Source organism: Homo sapiens, chromosome 2, assembly GCF_000001405.40.
Source record: "Homo sapiens chromosome 2, GRCh38.p14 Primary Assembly".
NCBI classification, from domain to species: domain Eukaryota; kingdom Metazoa; phylum Chordata; class Mammalia; order Primates; family Hominidae; genus Homo; species Homo sapiens.
In genome coordinates this window covers 37800181-37819461 of record NC_000002.12, presented here as the reverse complement: position 1 = coordinate 37819461, position 19281 = coordinate 37800181, and the positions used below count along the sequence as shown (strand labels likewise).

Here is a 19281-nt window from a genome sequence, read left to right as displayed (position 1 = left end):
TACAGCTGCCCAATGGCCGCAGCAGATACAGCTGCTTGATGGCTGCTTTTAGGATGCAATATTTTCTGTCTCTCCCCATGAAATCACTGGTGAGGAGGGAGTCCCTTTTGTCATTTCAGCTGCCAAGACATTTCATGCTAATGAGCTGTGAAGGGGAAGTCGCTAATGATATGAAATCCCTCTTTATGGCCAGGGCTGGGCCAAGGCCACCAGAGGGGTGATGGAGAGGTTCTTAACAACAGAGGCTGATTCTTCTGTTGCTGGAAGGTGAGAGGACAGGCCAATCCATAAACAATCCCCAAGGACTCTGGGGGCATCGTCCTGTTTCCATAAGCCTCCATGCCCTTCCTCTCTGACACCTCAAAATTTTATATGGGAGCTTAAGTTAGCCAGGTTCAGAGGGAAATAGAAGGAGAAATACTTTTGGCAGATCACCTAGGAAAACTAAAAGTAATTCCCAAGGTACCTGTTTGAAGTAAGGAAAGTCCCATAAAAAATTGCTATTCCATTGGAGTCCACGTCCACCCTAATTCAAGCCAGCTGATGGCCCAAAGACGTGAACGAAGGGGTGGCCAAGGGAAGCGTGTGTGGTACAGTGGAAAGACCCCTGCTTGGGAGTCAGAGAATCTGGTCCGTGTCTCACTTTGTTATTTTTGGCTGTGTGATATTGTGTAAAACACCAGAATTTTCTGAGTTTTATATCCTTATCTATGTGATATCATTAGCTACTTCAGGTGATTGTTATGAAATTAAGTGAGATTACATCCGTAGAAAGGGATATTAAAATACTGTCACTGTTTTTAAAATGTATATATTTTCACCATTTTCTCCCTGTGGCAGAAATTCTGCTGCCAGAGAGGTATGACTCTTTGGGATAAGGTGCTGTTCTCTTGGTGACCTTCTTAAAAAGCAAATGTCTTTGAAAAAAAGTAACATGGGATTTGTGAGTGATCACTCAATAGATTTCTTTTCCCCAGTAAATGGAGATTTTTTTTTGTTTTAGAGGCATTTCATTTAGACAACTAAAAACAATTAAATGTTCAGAAGCAGTGTACAATGAAAGAGAAATCAAACCAGTTACTTTATCATGTATTCCCTCTTTTTTACAACTAAAGCAAACAAACAAAGGCATTCTGCTTTAAGGAAAAAAGTCAGAAAAATAAGCCAATATATTTTTCTTCTCCATAATAACATAAACAGCTACAAGAACCCTAACTGTAATAAGAGAAATTGGATGTTGGCTTGTATATATTCATTAAAAAGATAACAGGCCACTGTACTACAAGAGGATAACTCTACCTCTCTTCATCTGATACTCTTGAGTTTTCACTTACAGGTAACACCAAGTTAGTTGTTCCAGCACTGGAGCTAATTCATTTTCCCCATTATTTACTGCTCTTTCTGCCTTAAGCAGAGAGTAACTCTGGAAGGCTGATGCTTTTCTCTGCTTGCTCGTTTTAGTCCATCAGTTGGATACTAACTGCAGCATATGATTGACCCTCAGGCCTTAACATCAGGAGTTGAAGAATAGATGCAATCTGAATCCTCTGAAACAATTTCTTCTAGCTCCTCTTCTGTTGTCTCTGGAAAGCCAATCTTTGGCTTTGCCAGCTCACCACTCTCTTCTTCAGGAAGCACACATTTCCAAAGGCCGTATGTTTTTCCTACCACAGTTTGCCCTAGTCTCAATGTTCCATCTTCAGAACCACTGGCATAGAGTTCTCCATCACGACTAAATCTCACACAGTGAATAGGACCAAAGTATCCCTTGTAGGATTCGAATTCTTCTCCATGGTTAAAATACTTATAAAGTTTAAAATCTTCACCACCTGCAACAAGAAATTCTTTCTCAGGATGAAGAGATGCAGAATTGATGGTTGCAGGAGCTTCAAAGGATGTAATTGGGTCCAAACTTACTGCACTATGAAAAGCAATAGATAGTCCATAAGTTATAACCAAAATCTCTCCCTCAGGAATGTATTTTGTACTACTAACAGACATATTAAAATTTAGAGATTTCACTTCTGTCATAGTAGCATGATCCCAAAGTCGAGCAGTTTTGTCATCAGCAGAAAGAATCTGTTTATCCTCACTGCACCATAGGAGCCTTTTTTTTATACCAGAAGTGTGACCACTAATTTCCTTAGGTCTTGCTTTGGGTTTGTTCAAGTCATACATGCGTAACAGTTTATCCTGTCCCTTGGTTAACAAATAATTACTATCCTGCATGAAATACACAGTCTTGACAATGTATTTATGAGCCAAGGTCATCAATTCATCTCCTAAGACAGCATCCCACACTTTGGCTGTGAAATCTGCAGCTGCTGTTGCTGCTTTGGTGGCATTCAGTGTTGCACCCCAAACAGCACCTTTATGACCCCAAAATGTTCCAATCCAGTCTCCTGTATCTCCCTGGCGTAGCATAGGTTTACCATCTTTGTAAGCGCTGGTTAAGAAATACCCATAAGTCGTGATGCCACTGAAGGCCAAATCAACCATGGGCCACGTGTGGCCAAAGTAGGTGAGCAGCGTCTGTCTCATTGCCATGGTGGCAGTGAACCCAGCGACCAGACTGGCGAGCTGAGTGTTGTCGTTCTCTTTTCTCTCTTCTGCTGCAGCACCTTGGGCTCCTCCAGGCCCCCGCCCTGACACTAGGGCTGGGCTGCAAAACAGGAAAAGGAGGACAATCTGGTGGCACTGAGGTTAGGAAGGGGTGACGGAGGGGTCAGGGAGTCTGACATGGGCAAGTAACAGTCGACCAGGGAGGGAAAGGGAGAAACTGAATATTTTAAAGTACTGCGGGAACAGGGATGCCAGAGAAAAAAGGATTTGGGAGAAACAGGACGCTATCCGTAAAGAACAAAAATGCGCTCAGAAGTCTGATCACAGGGAGAAGGGGGGCCCTCATGGCAGGGAGACCCATTGCTTAGAGTCTGATATTTGAATTAAGTCTCTATCTCCCACTGAACAGTAAGTTCTTGTTTCCTGTTTGCCAATATTTTCCCACAGATTATTATAGCGCTTGGTGTACAATAGTTGCTCAATGAATGTTTGTAGAATAAAAGCTGCATTTTGCTGGCTTCACCCTTTTGCCCAGGGTCAGCCATCAATCACCTGACTAACGCAGGCTTCGGGGCCACTTCTCCTGTATACACTCCCTTCCCTGACCTCTGGCTTCCTGAATCACCAGAAGCCGCGGACAGAGGTGTATGTGGTATGGCCCCTCCTGGAGACAGGTCAATCCCTCATCCTCATCTAAGACTTCCTGGAGTCTGAATAGGCACTGATTCCAAGTGTGACATGCAGTTGTAGGTGAAGTTCCTGAGTCAGGCGCCTGGCCTAGAAGAAAAAGCAACATTGCCATCAGAGGCCGAGAAGCCAGCGGACTCCCATCTCTCTGGCCTGACGCCATGAACCCAGGCATAGGACTCCTCACTGTTTCAGGTTTCAGTTTTTATAACTACACCTTCTCTGATCAGTTTTATGATACTTCTGTATGAAACTACATTAAATACTACAGCTCTTGTGTGATTAGAGGGCAGATAGATAGAGGCTCAGAAAAGTAACAAAACAACAAAAAACCAAACCAACCAACCAAACATAGTTTGTCCAGTAACCAAGAGACTGAAGTCAGGGGCCAAGAAAATCAGAAAGTGTCAAATTATTGAAGTCTCAAATTGGCTTTCACCTAATTAAAATAGCAGCTGAAATTTCCCTTTTTATACAGGGCTTTGACAACAGATTTTTCTTAAGAGTGTTGGGCCGGGCGCGGTGGCCCACGCCTGTAATCCCAGCACTTTGGAAGGCCGAGGCGGGCGGATCACGAGGTCAGGAGATTGAGACCATCCTGGCTAACATGGTGAAACCCCATTTCCACTAAAAATACAAAAAATTAGCCGGGCATAGTGGCGGGCGCCTGTAGTCCCAGCTACTCGGGAGGCTGAGGCAGGAGAATGGCGTGAACCTGGGAGGCGGAGCTTGCAGTGAGCCGAGATTGCGCCACTGCACTCCAGCCTGGGCGAAAGAGCCAGACTCCGTCTCAAAAAAAAAAAAAAAAAAAGAGTGTTGGGTGCCTGATCCTCAGAGCATGCTGAAACACCCTCTCTGGGTTTTGCTGACACAAATGCAAAGGCTACCAATGCTAGGCCTTTGAAAGGGAGTGGAAGGCACTGGCCCCCAAATGGTAAAGTTGGTGAGACTTATCTTTCAGAAAAATTCCCCCTTGTTGATGTTTTATCCTTTGATCCAACATTATTATTCTTCCTTTTTTCCTCTCTAGAAATAAACTATTTACTCACTATTTACCTCCTTTACCTAAGGCATGCTTGTGTTTTTTTAAGTTAATATTTAATTGGAAAAGGAATCACTTGGGGTGCAGTGGGAATTTTGTCATATCAAGGTGGTCTTCCTGGACTCTCTCAAACCCTCCAAAGAAGCAATCACCTAATTCACATATGAGCAATGACAGGATGGCCAGGGGAGATTATGAAATTTTCAACATTTATGAAGGAGAGTGGATATTCCTTGAAATGAATGTTTGTTGAACACAGCAGAGATGAACTAAGACTGTGGGGGAAGCTTGATCGCAGTACCCAACCAAACCTAGAGCCCAGGGTTGCAGAAATCCACGAGGAAGAGTCCTCATGCCATGGGGTGAGCTGTCTATACCTGGGCAATGGCATTTTAGAATCAAGGGGCTGATTGATACTAAACTGAAACAATTCTTCAGTCTGGACAAGGTGAGAAAGCAGGCCAAAATGTGCTTTCAGAATTACAGGCATTATCGGAAATATATTTCAAGAAGGTTTTTCTCCTATAACACTGATATTATAACATGTTTTTTTGGGAAGTGTCACTTTGGTTGGAAGGGGTTCCTAAACCAATTTCTGAATCTCTTTCCGTACTGGCTCTAGTTCTGATGCACACAGAGCCTCCCTCAGCTTTTGGGCAGAGTCCATTTGAGACACATCATAGGATCGGGGTCTCCATGTCTTTAGCTCCTGTTCTCACTAAAGTAGGTGACAGTGAAGCCGAGTGTGAAAACAGCAACATAACTCCTATTTATCAAGCACAGACTGCATGCCAGGCACACTGCTAAGTATCTTGTATATATTATCTTTTTTGCAGGTTTATTGACATGTTATTGATGTACAATAGATTACATATGTTCAACACGTACAATTTGATGATTTTACATATGTACATACCAATGAAACCATCACCACAATCAAAAATGCACATATCAGTCACCCCAAAGGTTTTCTGACGACCCTTTTTGATCCTTCCCTTTCACCTCTCCCTGACCCATACCCTCAACCTCAGACAACCACTCACATGCTTTCTGTCACTATGGGCTGTATTTTCTAAATTTTTATATGATTGGAATCATGCAGTATGGCCCCTTTTTCATCTGACTTCTTCACTCAGCATTATTTTGAGATTTATTCATGCTATTACATATAATAAAAATAGTTCATTCCTTTATATTGGTAAGTATTTCATTGTATGGTTTTCCCACGGTTTGTTTTTCCAATCACCAACTGACAAACATTTGAATCATTTCCAGATTTAGAGCACATTAATTAAGCAGGTTTTAAAACTGAGGTAATTTGTCTCCTTTAATCCCTAGAATGAAGTTCCAGAAAACACACTTTCTGAAAATAGCCATGAGTCCAGAAGTCAAATTGAACCTTCTTCAAAAGACCAACCTCTTTCTATTAGCAGTCCAGGGATCCAGATGCTTGCAAATGTCCAGTGCAGGCCGATCTCAGACACTCCTCACAACAGAGGGGTACTGATGGCTGAGTAGACGGTGCCTGGGGAAGGCTGAGCCCAAGGCACAGAAGCAGGCAGAGTCCAGTTCCCTGTTTCTCCAGCATCCTTAGGTACAAGCGCACCATCTTGCCCCAGTGCTGGAATTCTTCAGAACCAGAGTTGCATCCAGGTCTCTTCTCATTAAAGCACTTCTAATTCCATCACTCAGCCCCAGCACAGGATGGCGGGACTAGAGGAGGTTCCGAAGTAAGTCATCTAGTAGGCATGGGCAATAGAGGGATGATGCCAGTGGGAGGTAGGGGGAATGGGAGGCAAAGCTCCACACTGGAACTGCTGCCAAAGAGCATGGCGGCAGAGGCCTCTTCTCTGGCAGTGATCCCAGGTGCTGGTGGCGCAGGATGCTTTCACAGCAGTATTCAGGGCACCATGACGCTCCATAGGTTCAGCTTAGTGGACATAACACCCTCCATGGCCTGACCTACAATGATTGGCTCATGGCTTTTAGTTTTCACACAGTCACACCTCAGGGTGAGCCAGCTCTGCAATAGGATGCACTGCTTTGTCTGCAGCCTCACAGACCTGAAATGCACTCTCATGTCCTGTGCCTCAGTGCTGGCTGGGCCTTGGTCCTATTACATCTTGAACTCAAGGTAATACATCAGTGGCCGGGATTCACACTCAGAACCACCTTGAAAGTCTGTGCTGTTACCACCATGTCGCAGAGGTAGAAGTAGATGTCTGTATAAACAACCTTTGGGTAGCAGGTGGTCAGTTAGGCAGGAAAAATAGTTCTGCTACATTATATATATCAGGAGTATATTGACAGGAACATGTGTGTTGGGAATATATATGTCAGGAACAGCATGAAGAAAGAAAGGCTTTGACAGTTCTGAGCAAGCTACATCACACATCTTGCTAAAGTTTTTGCTATATGGAATTGGTCATTCTAGAGATGTCAGTTACCTAGCACAAGAATTGCAAAGAACAAGGTTGGCAATGGAAACCCTTCCTAAGGCAGAGAACTATGTGTTTAAGAACAGGGGCTCAGCAGCAGATGCCTAAGCTACACAGGCTAGGGCAAGCCACTGCCCTCTTGCGTCTGTTTTCTCATCTACAAAATATGAAAAATAACTGAATTTTCTTCAACACTTGTGAAGATGCAATGTGATGACAAATGTTGAGAGTTTAACACTGTGCCTATTTTGTGGTAAGAGCTCTGCTCTTACTCTGATAGGGGTATTCTCCTGCCTTCACACTTCAGACAGAAAAGCCACCCTCAGCAGCTTTCCGAGGACTGCAGAGGGTCAAAATGACCCCCTCTGTGGATTCGTAGAGTTTTCCAAAGAGGAGGGCAACCAGAAGTCAGCTCTGCTCAGAACTGCTCCAGTGAGATATTGGCATGTGGATGAAGGCTTATTTGCTTAAATCTACAGGGACAGATATGAAGGATTAATCTGAGCTCCTGGAAATTCTCTTTATAAGAATATTTATACTATACCCAGAACAAGGTTTTTCTTTGCCCATGTGAATAGAGATTGCTCTATTAACATTGAGAAATCCACAAGGCAAATTTAATATAAAGTGAGGATCTCTTTGTGCTTGTTTTCCGAGAGTGAAATATTCCTCAATTGCAGGCTTAACTCCCTGGGATATTCACAGTAAACATCCACACACCCTGCCCCACATGCACTTACACACATACCACCTAGATTACCTAGATTTGCTAGAAGACTTCTGAAATATTCTCCAGAGAAAGAACCTAGATTTGAGTCCTTAGGACAGGGGTTCTCCTTTCACCGATAACAGGTGAAAATTTTAATACTCCTTTCTTACCCTCTCCCTTGTGCTACCCTGTTTGGTGAAAATGTAAATTCGTACAATTTCCATGGAAAACAGTACGGATATTTCTCAAAGAACCATTCAATCTAGCAGTCCCAGTACTGGGTATCTACCCATATGAAAAGAAATCATTATATCCAAAAAATACCTGCACTTGCATGTTTACCACAGCACTATTCACAATAACAAAGATATGGAATCAACCTAAGTGTCCATCAATGGATGATTGGATGTAGAAAATGTGGGATATACAGATATGTGTGTGTGTATATATATATATATATATATGTATATATATATATATATATATGCACTATGGAATACTACTCAGCCATAAAAAAGAATGAAATCATGTCTTTTGCAGCAACATGGATGGAACTGGAGGCCATTATCCTAAGTGAAACAATTAAGACACAGAAAGACAAATACCACATGTTCTCATTTATAAGTGGGATCCAAATAATGTGTACACATGGACATAGAGAGTAGAAAAACAGATACTGGAGATTTGGAAGGGTGGGAGTGTGAGAGGGAGGTGAAGGATGAAAAATTACTTAATGGATACAATATACACTATTCAGATGTTGGTTACTCCAGAAGTCCAGACTTCACCACCATGCAACATATCCACATAACAAAATGGCACTTGTATCTCTGAAGTCTAATATATATATATATATATATATACATTTTTTCTTTTTGAGATGGAGTCTCGCTCTGTCGCCCAAGCTGGAGTGCAGTGGCGAGATCTCGGCTCACTGCAAGCTCCGGCCTCCCGGGTTCACACCATTCTCCTGCCTCAGCCTCCCACGTAGCTGGGACTACAGGTGCCCGCCACCACGCCCGGATAATTTTTTGTATTTTTTAGTAGAGACGGGGTTTCACTGTGTTAGCCAGGATGGTCTCGATCTTCTGACCTCGTGATCCGCCCATCTCGGCCTCCCAAGGTGCTGGGATTACAGGTGTGAGTCACTGCGCCCGGCAGATAGATATATATATATATATATATATATATATATATATATATTTTTTTTTTTTGAATGACCTACCAAGTCACTCAGACCTCAGCAAAAGATAGAAATTGCTGCCCTTAGTGATACAATCAGATCTCATTCACATTAATGTTGCTGGTCTTTCTTCATATTTTTGGGCAAGGGAGAGAGGGCCTCACTGTTATGTTTCTGACAACTAATCACTTTCTGTGCCCTCTGCCAGCTTGGGTACAATCAGCTTCCTCTGGCAGCCCATCTGGAAGTGAGTTCAATCGTCTGTATGTGGATGAGTGTATGTATATGTACTCTATTTCCTTTTATTAACATAGGGACCATTTCTCACCTTGTTTTCTAGCTTTGCAGCCAAACTGAGTACAGGGCTCTTATTGATTTTTGTGGCCTGGAGTTGGGTTTCTTTCAATGAAAATGAAACTTACTCAGATCAGTCCCATGGAGCATGGAGCAAGCAGAGAAATGAGCCATAAATTCAGGTGTACCCAAGTACGGGCTGCAGTTGGATTTTGTTCTTTCTTTGAGTGCAGGCCAAATGTTGCAGTTGGGCTTACACTGGCTGTACAGGGCAGATTTGTGGAGCTTTTACTATGAAACATACTTTCCATTATTCACCCTACTCACATGAGTTCTGCTAGAAAAAAGAATTCTCACTGTGGATTTGAGTTTACTAGTTCTGAGGCCAGTACATTTGAAGTGGAGAGGCATGAAAAGGGGGAGGTTTTCTACTCTATCCCCATGTGTTTATCATTGCTGAGCACTTACGTGTTAGGGAAGGAAGAAATGTTCTTATACTGGATTAAACTTTGCAAATAGCATTATTGTTCTGTAGACCAATAGGGTTTTATTTTTTAAAGTCAATGAAATTGACAACTTTTGGAAAGGATTTGAACTGTATTTCTGCTATTTCTGTTAGACAAACACAGCTGAATGACTTCTTAACTCTCTTGTTGGAGTGTTGGACTTGGTACCTTTATTAAAGGCCACTGGATTGAATTGTTATATTCCAGGGATGGGGTTTGACCTAATGGAATATCCATATCTATGCAGGGTGAGTGGATTTCTTATCTAGAATGAAACAACCAGCCAGCCAACTCCTGAAGTTGAGAACATGACTCTGGCTCTTCTCTTAACTTCCAAAGGGATTAAATTCCATAAAACCTTTTAACCTCAGAGTTTCACATGTTGAAAAGAGCAGAGCCTGCAGGGGTCGCTCATTCCAAGTATCTTTCTTTTAGTTATTTTTTTGATGATATGAAAAGACTGCTGACTGATTGTTTGCTGTTTTTAAACAAAACTTCTGTGAAGAGAGTCAAGGTAGAATTTCCTCTTTGTATTTTGTTTGCTTCCTTTCTTTCCACTTCTCTTTGCTCATCTTGCCAAAACTAACGTTTCTCTATGGCTTTGGTATGCTTTATCCTGTAGCAGGACTTTTGATCTCTAAAGATTTAAAGTTTGGAATAAGCATTGGTGGCCTTGAGTTTGCAAAAATCTTTCTTAATCTCCTTAATGTCTTGCTTTTTTGAACATGCCATTGCCCAGTAATGTGGCTTCCCTTATGTAAGTCCAATTAATCAGTTCAACACAGTATTGGAAAAATATCTGGTAAATTTGGAACGGTATAGCTAGGCTGAAATAAGCTTTTAAGAAGTCATGAATTCACTGTAAGTGACTCTCAGAACTTTGCCTATAGAACTGGCTTAGGAATCCAGATGGGGCCCTGAATCAAGGAGAGAGTATCTCTCATTCTTAATTCTAGTTGCTATTGATTTAGCAACTCTTAAGGAAGCATGGTAATCTTTCCTTTTCCCCAATTTGTTGTTCATTCTCCTTCAGAGGAAAGGTCGTTCTCATTTGTTGGTTATTGTGGAGCAACTTAAGCACAAAACCAGAAATATCAATGCTCATAGCTAATCTCCACGTGGCCAGCACCTGTGTTCTGTTTCGACACCTGGGCTCATCTGTGCAACCACCTGCAAATCCTGACCACTGATCATGAAGTGAGTTAAGTGTGTTGATAAACCAAGCAGATTCACTTCACTCCTGGAAACCTACTGTATTAGTCCGTTTTCATGCTGCTGATAGAGACATACCTGAGATTGGGCAATTTACAAAAGAGGTTTAATTGGACTTACAGTTCCACGTGGCTGGGGAGGCCTCACAATCATGGCAGAAGGCAAAGAAGAGCAAGTCACATCTTACATAGATGCCAGCAGGCAAAAAGAGAGAGAGCTTGTGCAGGGAAACTCTCCCTTATATAATCATCAGATCTCGTGAGACTTATTCACTATCAGGAGAATAGCACAGGAAAGACCTGCCCTCTGTGATTCAATTGCCTCCCACCGGGTCCCTCCCACAACACCTGGGAATTCAAGATGAGATTTGGGTGGGGACACAGCCAACCCATATCACCTACCATCAAGGAAAACTACGCTGTTTGAAAGTCTTTGACAGGTTATTTTGAATTTATATTAAGGATTATATTTTTCTTAAGTATCTTGTGAAAAGTTTTTAAAAGTACAGTTGTAGGAAAACAGGGCCTACTTGATAACATATAAGGGTTAGGTCACTTTTTAAAAGACATAAAGCAGTTTACTTTTGCTGAAGTAGCAAGGTCTATAGTTCCTGAAATCCTAGAATTCCCTTATTCTGATAAGACTGGGTATTTAATGGTCAAGGTTCTGAGTTGCCAACAAAAGAATCCATTCTGATTAGTTTAATCAGGAAGGGGGTTTATTCAAGAATATTAGGTAGATCACAGAAAATCAAGGAGGGGCAGACAGTAGGCTCTGAGCCATTCAGGAACAATCGTGGACACACAACAGGAGCTTCTTGAGCAAATTTTCCTTTGCCACTATTGCTTTGTATCAATGAGGAAACCAGGATGGATACCAGCAGCTTCTCCCTATTCTGATCTTGAAGATCTAGAGGCCTCCATCATCATATCAATTTCTCTCCATGCAGCCAATTCCTTGGGTTGCTAATTTCCAAAATCTAAGACTATCATGGGTAGATCTGATTGGTGGAATCTAGGTTACCCTAGCTACAAAAGAGTTTCGGTGTGGAAGATTTCTAGCTTCTACCTTGGGAAGGTGCAACTTATCATATGGGATATTACTAAAAGGTAGAGAAGATATCATTAAAATTAAAACCATTTATGCTTCAAAGAATACCATCAAGAAAATGAAAAGACAACTCACAGAATGGAGAAAAGCTTTGAAAATCATATATATGATAAGAGACTTGCATTTCTTGCCTATAAAGGAATCTTACAACTCAATAACGAAAAGAAAAATAACTGAATTAAAAATAAGCAAAAGATCAGAATATACATTTCTCCAAAAAAGATATACAAATGGTCAATAACACATGAAAGATGCTTAACATCATTAGCCATTAGGGAAATGCAAATCAAAACTGCACTGAGATACCATTATGAATCCACTAGGATGGCTATAATAAAAAAGACAGATAACAGCAAGTGTTGGTGAAGATGTGGAAAAAGTGGAACTCTCATGAATTGCTGGAAATGTAATATGGTGCAGCCACTTTGGACAACAATCTGGCAGTTCTGCAAAAGGTGAAGCATAGAGTTACCCAGCAATTGCACTCCTAGATATATAGTCAAGAGAATTGAAAATGTAAGTCCACACAAAATCTTTTACATCAATATTCATAGCAACATTCTGCAAAATAGCTAAAAAATGTAAACAATCCAAATGTCCCTCAGCTAACTAATGGATCAACAAAATGTGTATATCTATACAACGGAAGATTATTTGGTCATAAAAGGAATGAAGTACTGATGTATGCTACAATATAGGTGAACCTGGAAAACATTATGGTAGGTAAAAGAAGCCCATCACAATGGATCAGATATTGTATGATTTCATTTCTTTGAAATGTATTCTTTTTCTAGGGCTGCCACAACAAAGTACCATAGACTTGATGGCTTAAACAACAGACACGGATTTTCTCACAGTTCTGGAGGCTAGAAATCTGAGATCAAGACACCAGCAGGGTTGGTTTCATTCTGAAGCTGCTCTTCGTGGCTTGGGGATCCCATCTTCTCCCTGTGTCTTCACATGGTCTTCTCTCTGTGCCTGTGCCATAATCTCTTCTTTTAAGGAACCAATTGTATTGGATTAGAGCCCACTTTGGTGACCTCATTATTACTTAATTACCTCTTTCAAGACCCTGTCTTCAAATACAAATAGAACCACAACATATGAATATCAGGGGGACACAATTCAGCCTTTAACAGTCTATAATAGGAAAACATATAGAGACAGAAGATTAATGAACAGATGGTTGTCGTATTAGTCCATTTTCACGCTGCTGACAAAGACATACCTGAGACTGGGCCATTTACAAAAGAAAGAAGTTTAATTGGACTCAGTTCCACGTAGCTGGGGAGGCCTCACAATCATGATGGAAGGCAAGGAGGAGCAAGTCACATCTTATGTGGATGACAGCAGGCAAAAAGAGAGAGCTTGTGCAGAGAAACTCCCATTTTTAAAACCATCAGTTCTCATGAGACTTATTCACTATCATGAGAACAGCATGGGAAACACCTGCCCCCATGATTCAGTCACCTCCCACCGGGTCCCTCCCACAGCATGTTGGAAGTCAAGATGAGATTTGGGTGGGGACACAGCCAAACCACATCAGTTGCCTAGGGCTGGACAGTGGTGGGAGGTTTGGGAGATGATGGTTAATGGGTCCAAGATTTCCTTTTGGGGGCAAAAACTGGAAGCATTCCCTTTGAAAACTGGCACAAGACAGGGATGCCCTCTCTCACCGCTCCTATTCAACATAGTGTTGGAAGTTCTGGCCAGGGAAATTAGGCAGGAGAAGGAAATAAAGGGTATTCAATTAGGAAAAGAGGAAGTCAAATTGTCCCTGTTTGCAGATGACATGATTGTATATTTAGAAAACCCCATCGTCTCAGCACAAAATCTCCTTAAGCTGATAAGCAACTTCAGCAAAATCTCAGGATACAAAATCAATGTACAAAAATCACAAGCATTCTTATACACCAATAACAGACAAACAGAGAGCCAAATCATGAGGGAACTCCCATTCACAATTGCTTCAAAGAGAATAAAATACCCGGGAATCCAACTTACAAGGGATGTGAAGGACCTCTTCGAGGAGAACTACAAACCACTGCTCAATGAAATAAAAGAGGACACAAACAAATGGAAGAACATTCCATGCTCATGGGTAGGAAGAATCAATATCGTGAAAATGGCCATACTGCCCAAGGTAATTTATAGATTCAATGCCATCCCCATCAAGCTACCAATGACTTTCTTCACAGAATTGGAAGAAACTACTTTAAAGTTCGTATGGAAGCAAAAAAGAGCCTGTGTCACCAAGTCAATCCTAAGCCAAAAGAACAAAGCTGGAGGCACCACGCTGCCTGACTTCAAATTATACTACAAGGCTACAGTAACCAAAACAGCATGGTACTGGTACCAAACCAGAGATATAGATCAATGGAACAGAACAGAGCCCTCAGAAATGATGCCGCATATCTACAACCATCTGATCTTTGACAAACCTGAGAAAAACAAGCAATGGGGAAAAGATTCCCTATTTAATAAATGGTGCTGGGAAAACTGGCTAGCCATATGTAGAAAGCTGAAACTGGATCCCTTCCTTACACCTTATACAAAAATTAATTCAAGATGGATTAAAGACTTACATGTTAGACCTAAAACCATAATAACCCTAGAAGAAAACCTAGGCAATACCATTCAGGACATAGGCATGGGCAAGGACTTCGTGTCTAAAACACCAAAAGCAATGGCAACAAAAGCCAAAATTGACAAACGGGATCTAATTAAACTAAAGACCTTCTGCACAGCAAAAGAAACCACCATCAGGGTGAACAGGCAACCTACCAAATCGGAGAAAATTTTCGCCACCTACTCATCTGACAAAGGGCTAACACCGAGAATCTACAATGAACTCAAACAAATTTACAAGAAAAAACAAACAACCCCATCAAAAAGTGGGCAAAGGACATGAACAGATACTTCTCAAAAGAAGACATTTATGCAACCAAAAGACACATGAAAAAATGCTCATCATCACTGGCCATCAGAGAAATGCAAATCAAAACCACAATGAGACACCATCTCACACCAGTTAGAATGGCGATCATTAAAAAGTCAGGAAACAACAGGTGCTGGAGAGGATGTGGAGAAATAAGAACACTTTTACATTGTTGGTGGGACTGTAAACTAGTTCAACCATTGTGGAAGTCAGTGTGGTTGATTCCTCAGGGATCTAGAACTAGAAATACCATTTCGCCCAGCCATCCCATTACTGGGTATATACCCAAAGGATTATAAATCATGCTGCTATAAAGACACATGCACACGTATGTTTATTGCGGCACTATTCACAATAGCAAAGACTTGGAACCAACCCAAATGTCCAACAACGATAGACTGGATTAAGAAAATGTGGCACATATACACCATGGAATACTATGCAGCCATAAAAACTGATGAGTTCATGTCCTTTGTAGGGACATGGATGAAACTGGAAACCATGATTCTCAGCAAACTATTGCAAGGACAAAAAACCAAACACCGCATGTTCTCACTCATAGGTGGGAATTGAACAATGAGAATACATGGACACAGGAAGGGGAACATCACAATCCGGGGCCTGTTGTGGGGTCAGGGGAAGGAGGAAGGATAGCATTAGGAGATACACCTAATGTTAAATGACGAGTTAATGGGTGCAGCACACCAGCATGGCACATGTATACATATGTAACAAACCTGCACATTGTGCCCATGTACCCTAAAACTTAAAGTGTAATAAAAAAAAAAGATTTCCTTTTGGGATAATGAAAATATTGATTGATGTAATGGTTGCAAAATTTTGTGAATATACTAAAAGCCATTGCATTGTACACTTTATATGGGTGAATTGTGTGGTATGTGAATTACATCTCAATAAAGCTGTTACACAAAAGAAAAAGAGGAGGGAGTTCAGAGATATTAGGTGGCCACAAATAATCAGTGTCTATTACACTACCTTCAGCTGAGAAATTAAGAACAAGCTAGGAAATAACACCCCATGGTCTCCTGGACTAGGCCGAAGTGTCCCCTTTCCTCAGCCTAATTCTAAATCAACTTGACATGCCCAGTGGGAACACTGGCATTGCTGCTCTTTTGCCACAATGCCAATGTCCTTCTGGAATCTTTGGGAACGAGGCAACTGGCTGTGACCAATGTCATCCCTTTGATGTCCAGGATGCATGTGGCCACCCTGGTAAGCACCCCTTTCCTTAGCCAAAGCTCTGAGTGCATCCCTGAGGACCTATATATGGTAGAGGAGGGAAAGAGGTTCTCAGAGACATAGTTTTTTCAGTCCTGGAATATTTGTATTTTCCAGTTAAGTGGGCATTCATTAGCCACATAACACCATTTTGGTCAACAAAAGACTGCATATTGGAAGGTTGTCCCAGTAAAAAATACTGTATTTTTACTGTACTTTTCCATGTTTAGATATATGAATGCTTATCATTGCATTACAACTGCCTACAGTATTCAGTACATTCAGTACATGCAAGTACCCTCTATGGTGTTTACACAATGATTAAATCATCTAACAATGCATTTCTCAGAACATATCCTCCTTGTTAAGCATTGCATGTCTGTACTTCAAAAAATGTTTAACCTAGAAGGCCATCTCTGTAAGATTCAACAGAGCCTGCCCTGGTTATTTATTTTGCTTTTTTACAGCATTATCCCTTAATCCCTGTTTGGCTCTTCTGCATTACAAGGCCTCTTACTCATCTCCACTGTGGACTTCCCTCAGACTCTAGTCACTTGCTAATTGGCTTGAGATTTTTTTTTCCTTCTTGTGAATGTATTTGCAGTATTATCATTGCTGTAATAGAAGTATGTATAGGAGAAAGTACTTGGTAATGGGTGGAGGTGGAGGAAAACTGTCAATGAAAGCTTTTTTAGAGTAGAATATTTTGGATTTGTGAGTCTTTAAAGATTGATGGGGAAAGAGAAGGGAACATGGGGAGATGTGGAGGAAGAGGAAAGAACCCTCCAGCTACATGAGCAAAGTCAAGGGTACTTGACATAGTCCAGAGCGCCAGGGCAGCTGTGAATAGTTTGATTTGGCTTCAATGTAGGCTGCAAAGTGGGAATGGGGCAAGAGGTGAGCCTGGACAGGTGGGCTGGGCCAGAGGAAAACCCGTAGAGCCAGGGGAGCAGGAGAGAGGCTGTCTAGGCCAGCTGTGTTACAACATACCCTTAAGGCATAAGGGATGATTAAACTAAAAGGTTGATGGACATTTTTCTGTGACTGGCTTCTTTTGATTCATCCTGAAGTCTGCTAAATTATTCCAGAATATGGAATCCAGGAACTCTTTTGTGGAGCAATGCAGTGAAATTAGCCCTCATGAGTATTCACAATGAGTATCCAGATAAGCTTAAAATCCATGCAGATAGGTAGAGAAGGAAGCAAAGAGGCAGCTTGAGAGCTCCTGGGTGAAAGGGAAGAAAAAGCCACATTCCATTGCCCGGAGCATAAGTCATAGATGGCCCTGCCCCAAGGGGCTTCAGGAAAACTAAATCCAACCGGCAGAGATAAACCAAAAGTGACTGCAAATGTTTTTTGCAAAACTTTTAAAGGATACTCCCCTAACCCCAGTGATCCCACTTCTTCCTCTGGATTCAAAGTCAGACATCTTAGAGCTAGAGGCACCAGTCATGACAGATGAACCACACTTCTTCCATCCATCCATCATTAATCTATCCGTGTAACTATCCATTCATAATCAGGCCTTTGAATCTCTGGGTTCTATATAATATAGTCCGCGCTCCTGACTTTTGATTGGAAATACATATGCATGCACACACACATACACACACGCTTTTATTTTACAATGAATAAGTGAATGTCTAATAATGAAAATCAGCCTTCTTCGTAAGTACCAAGGGAGTATTTTTATATCAGAAAACATTTAATGACAAGGACAACATCAGCACTTCCTCTGAACATCCTACTTATAAACACTCTTACTTCTTAATTAACCTCCCCATTTTCCAGTAAATGAAGCCTGTTTTCCTAATAGAACTCCCCCATATCAATTTTTGGGTGTCTGGAATAATTTTTAATGACTATCTAGTTATTGTATTTTAATCTCCTCCCCCAAATCTAAGTGATAAATGCCTCACCATTTTCTTCAGATACACACCCCAGCCCTTATTCAAATCACAGTCCTTCACTCACAGTCAGGAACCCGCACACCTGGGAGTTTGTCGAAGAAACACCACCTTGTGTCTCTGCCCATCTCAACTCCTGTCATCTCTGAGCAAAGCAATCTTACTCCCATCTATGACTCCAGTTCTACATCATTGCACTCCCTTGTTTGGGGGAAGTGGACTAGTGGGACAATTTCCCAAGTTCTATTTTGAGAAAGGGGCAAGTTCATTAACTTTGATCAGGATGGGATGGGGAACACTGAGTGATGTATTTGGCAGATCTTTACACTCATATCTCTCTTGGAATCCTAAGATGATAGACAGATTAGAGAGTAGGGGGAGAGGAAAACTTTTTTATGATTAAGAGAGGCTTCATTGAGAACCTTTTTATGTGTTTGACCTTCTCTCCCCTGGTCCAGTTGCCCCTCGTGGAGACTCCACAGACCTCTGTTTATATCATTCACAGGATGTGCTCCCTGAAATAAGCTGAATAATATCCACCAAGATGTCCATGTTCTTATCCCCAGAACCTGTCAATGTTACCTGATGTGGCAAAGGGGGCTGTGTAGATGCAACCAAGTTAAGGATATTGATTGACCTGGGAAGATTCTTCTGGATTATCCTAGTGGGCCCAATGTCATCATAGTGGTCCTTATAAGAGGAACACAGGAGAAGCCCATGTCACACGGAAGTAGAAGATGTGATGATGGAAACAGAAGGTTGGAGTGATGCAGGGAAAAGGTCACAGGCCAAGGAAGGCAGGCAAACTTCAGAAGCTAGAAAAGGCAAGGAAATGGATTCTCCTCTAGAACCTCCAGAGTAAATCAGCCCTGCTAACACTTTGACTTTAGCCCAGTGAAACTGCTCTGAGATTTCTGACCTCCAAAACTGTAAGAGAATAAATTTGCACTGGTTTAGTCACCAAGTTTGTGGTAATTTACTACAGCAGCCACAGAAAATTAAAACATTCCACTTAATGACATTTCCACTCACAAATCCGTCTCTTTGAATAGAGACCACAAGCTCTTCTATATCTCCTAGCACTGGGCACCCTGTCAGTTAGTTCCTTCGGAATACAAGAAACAGAAACATCCCAATCAACTCCAATAAAGGATGTTCAATATAATGACACATGAGAAAGACAGGAATTGGCAAAACTGTCCCAGCAGCTGCCCTGCTAAGCCTTGTGGCCACTGGAACATCCTTTAGCAAACAGTGTTAGTTTTGGTCATTGGGCAGAAAGGTCAGTAACTCAGCAACATCAGTGGCTATTCCCTCAGACATGTCTGTTTTTGTGAGTCAATTTCTCTCTCCCCTGCTGCCACCAATTACCCAAGGGAGTATTTTTATATCAGAAAACACTTAATGACAAGATCCTGTATCTATTGTTTAAACTCTCTTTAAGAAACAAGCTG

General features: G+C 41.5%; 1 pseudogene; it reads right to left on the bottom strand.

Moving 5' to 3' along the window:
* Positions 1-1303: 1303 nt before the first annotated feature.
* On the bottom strand, positions 1304-2737 carry LOC344382 (serine/threonine kinase receptor associated protein pseudogene; annotated as a pseudogene).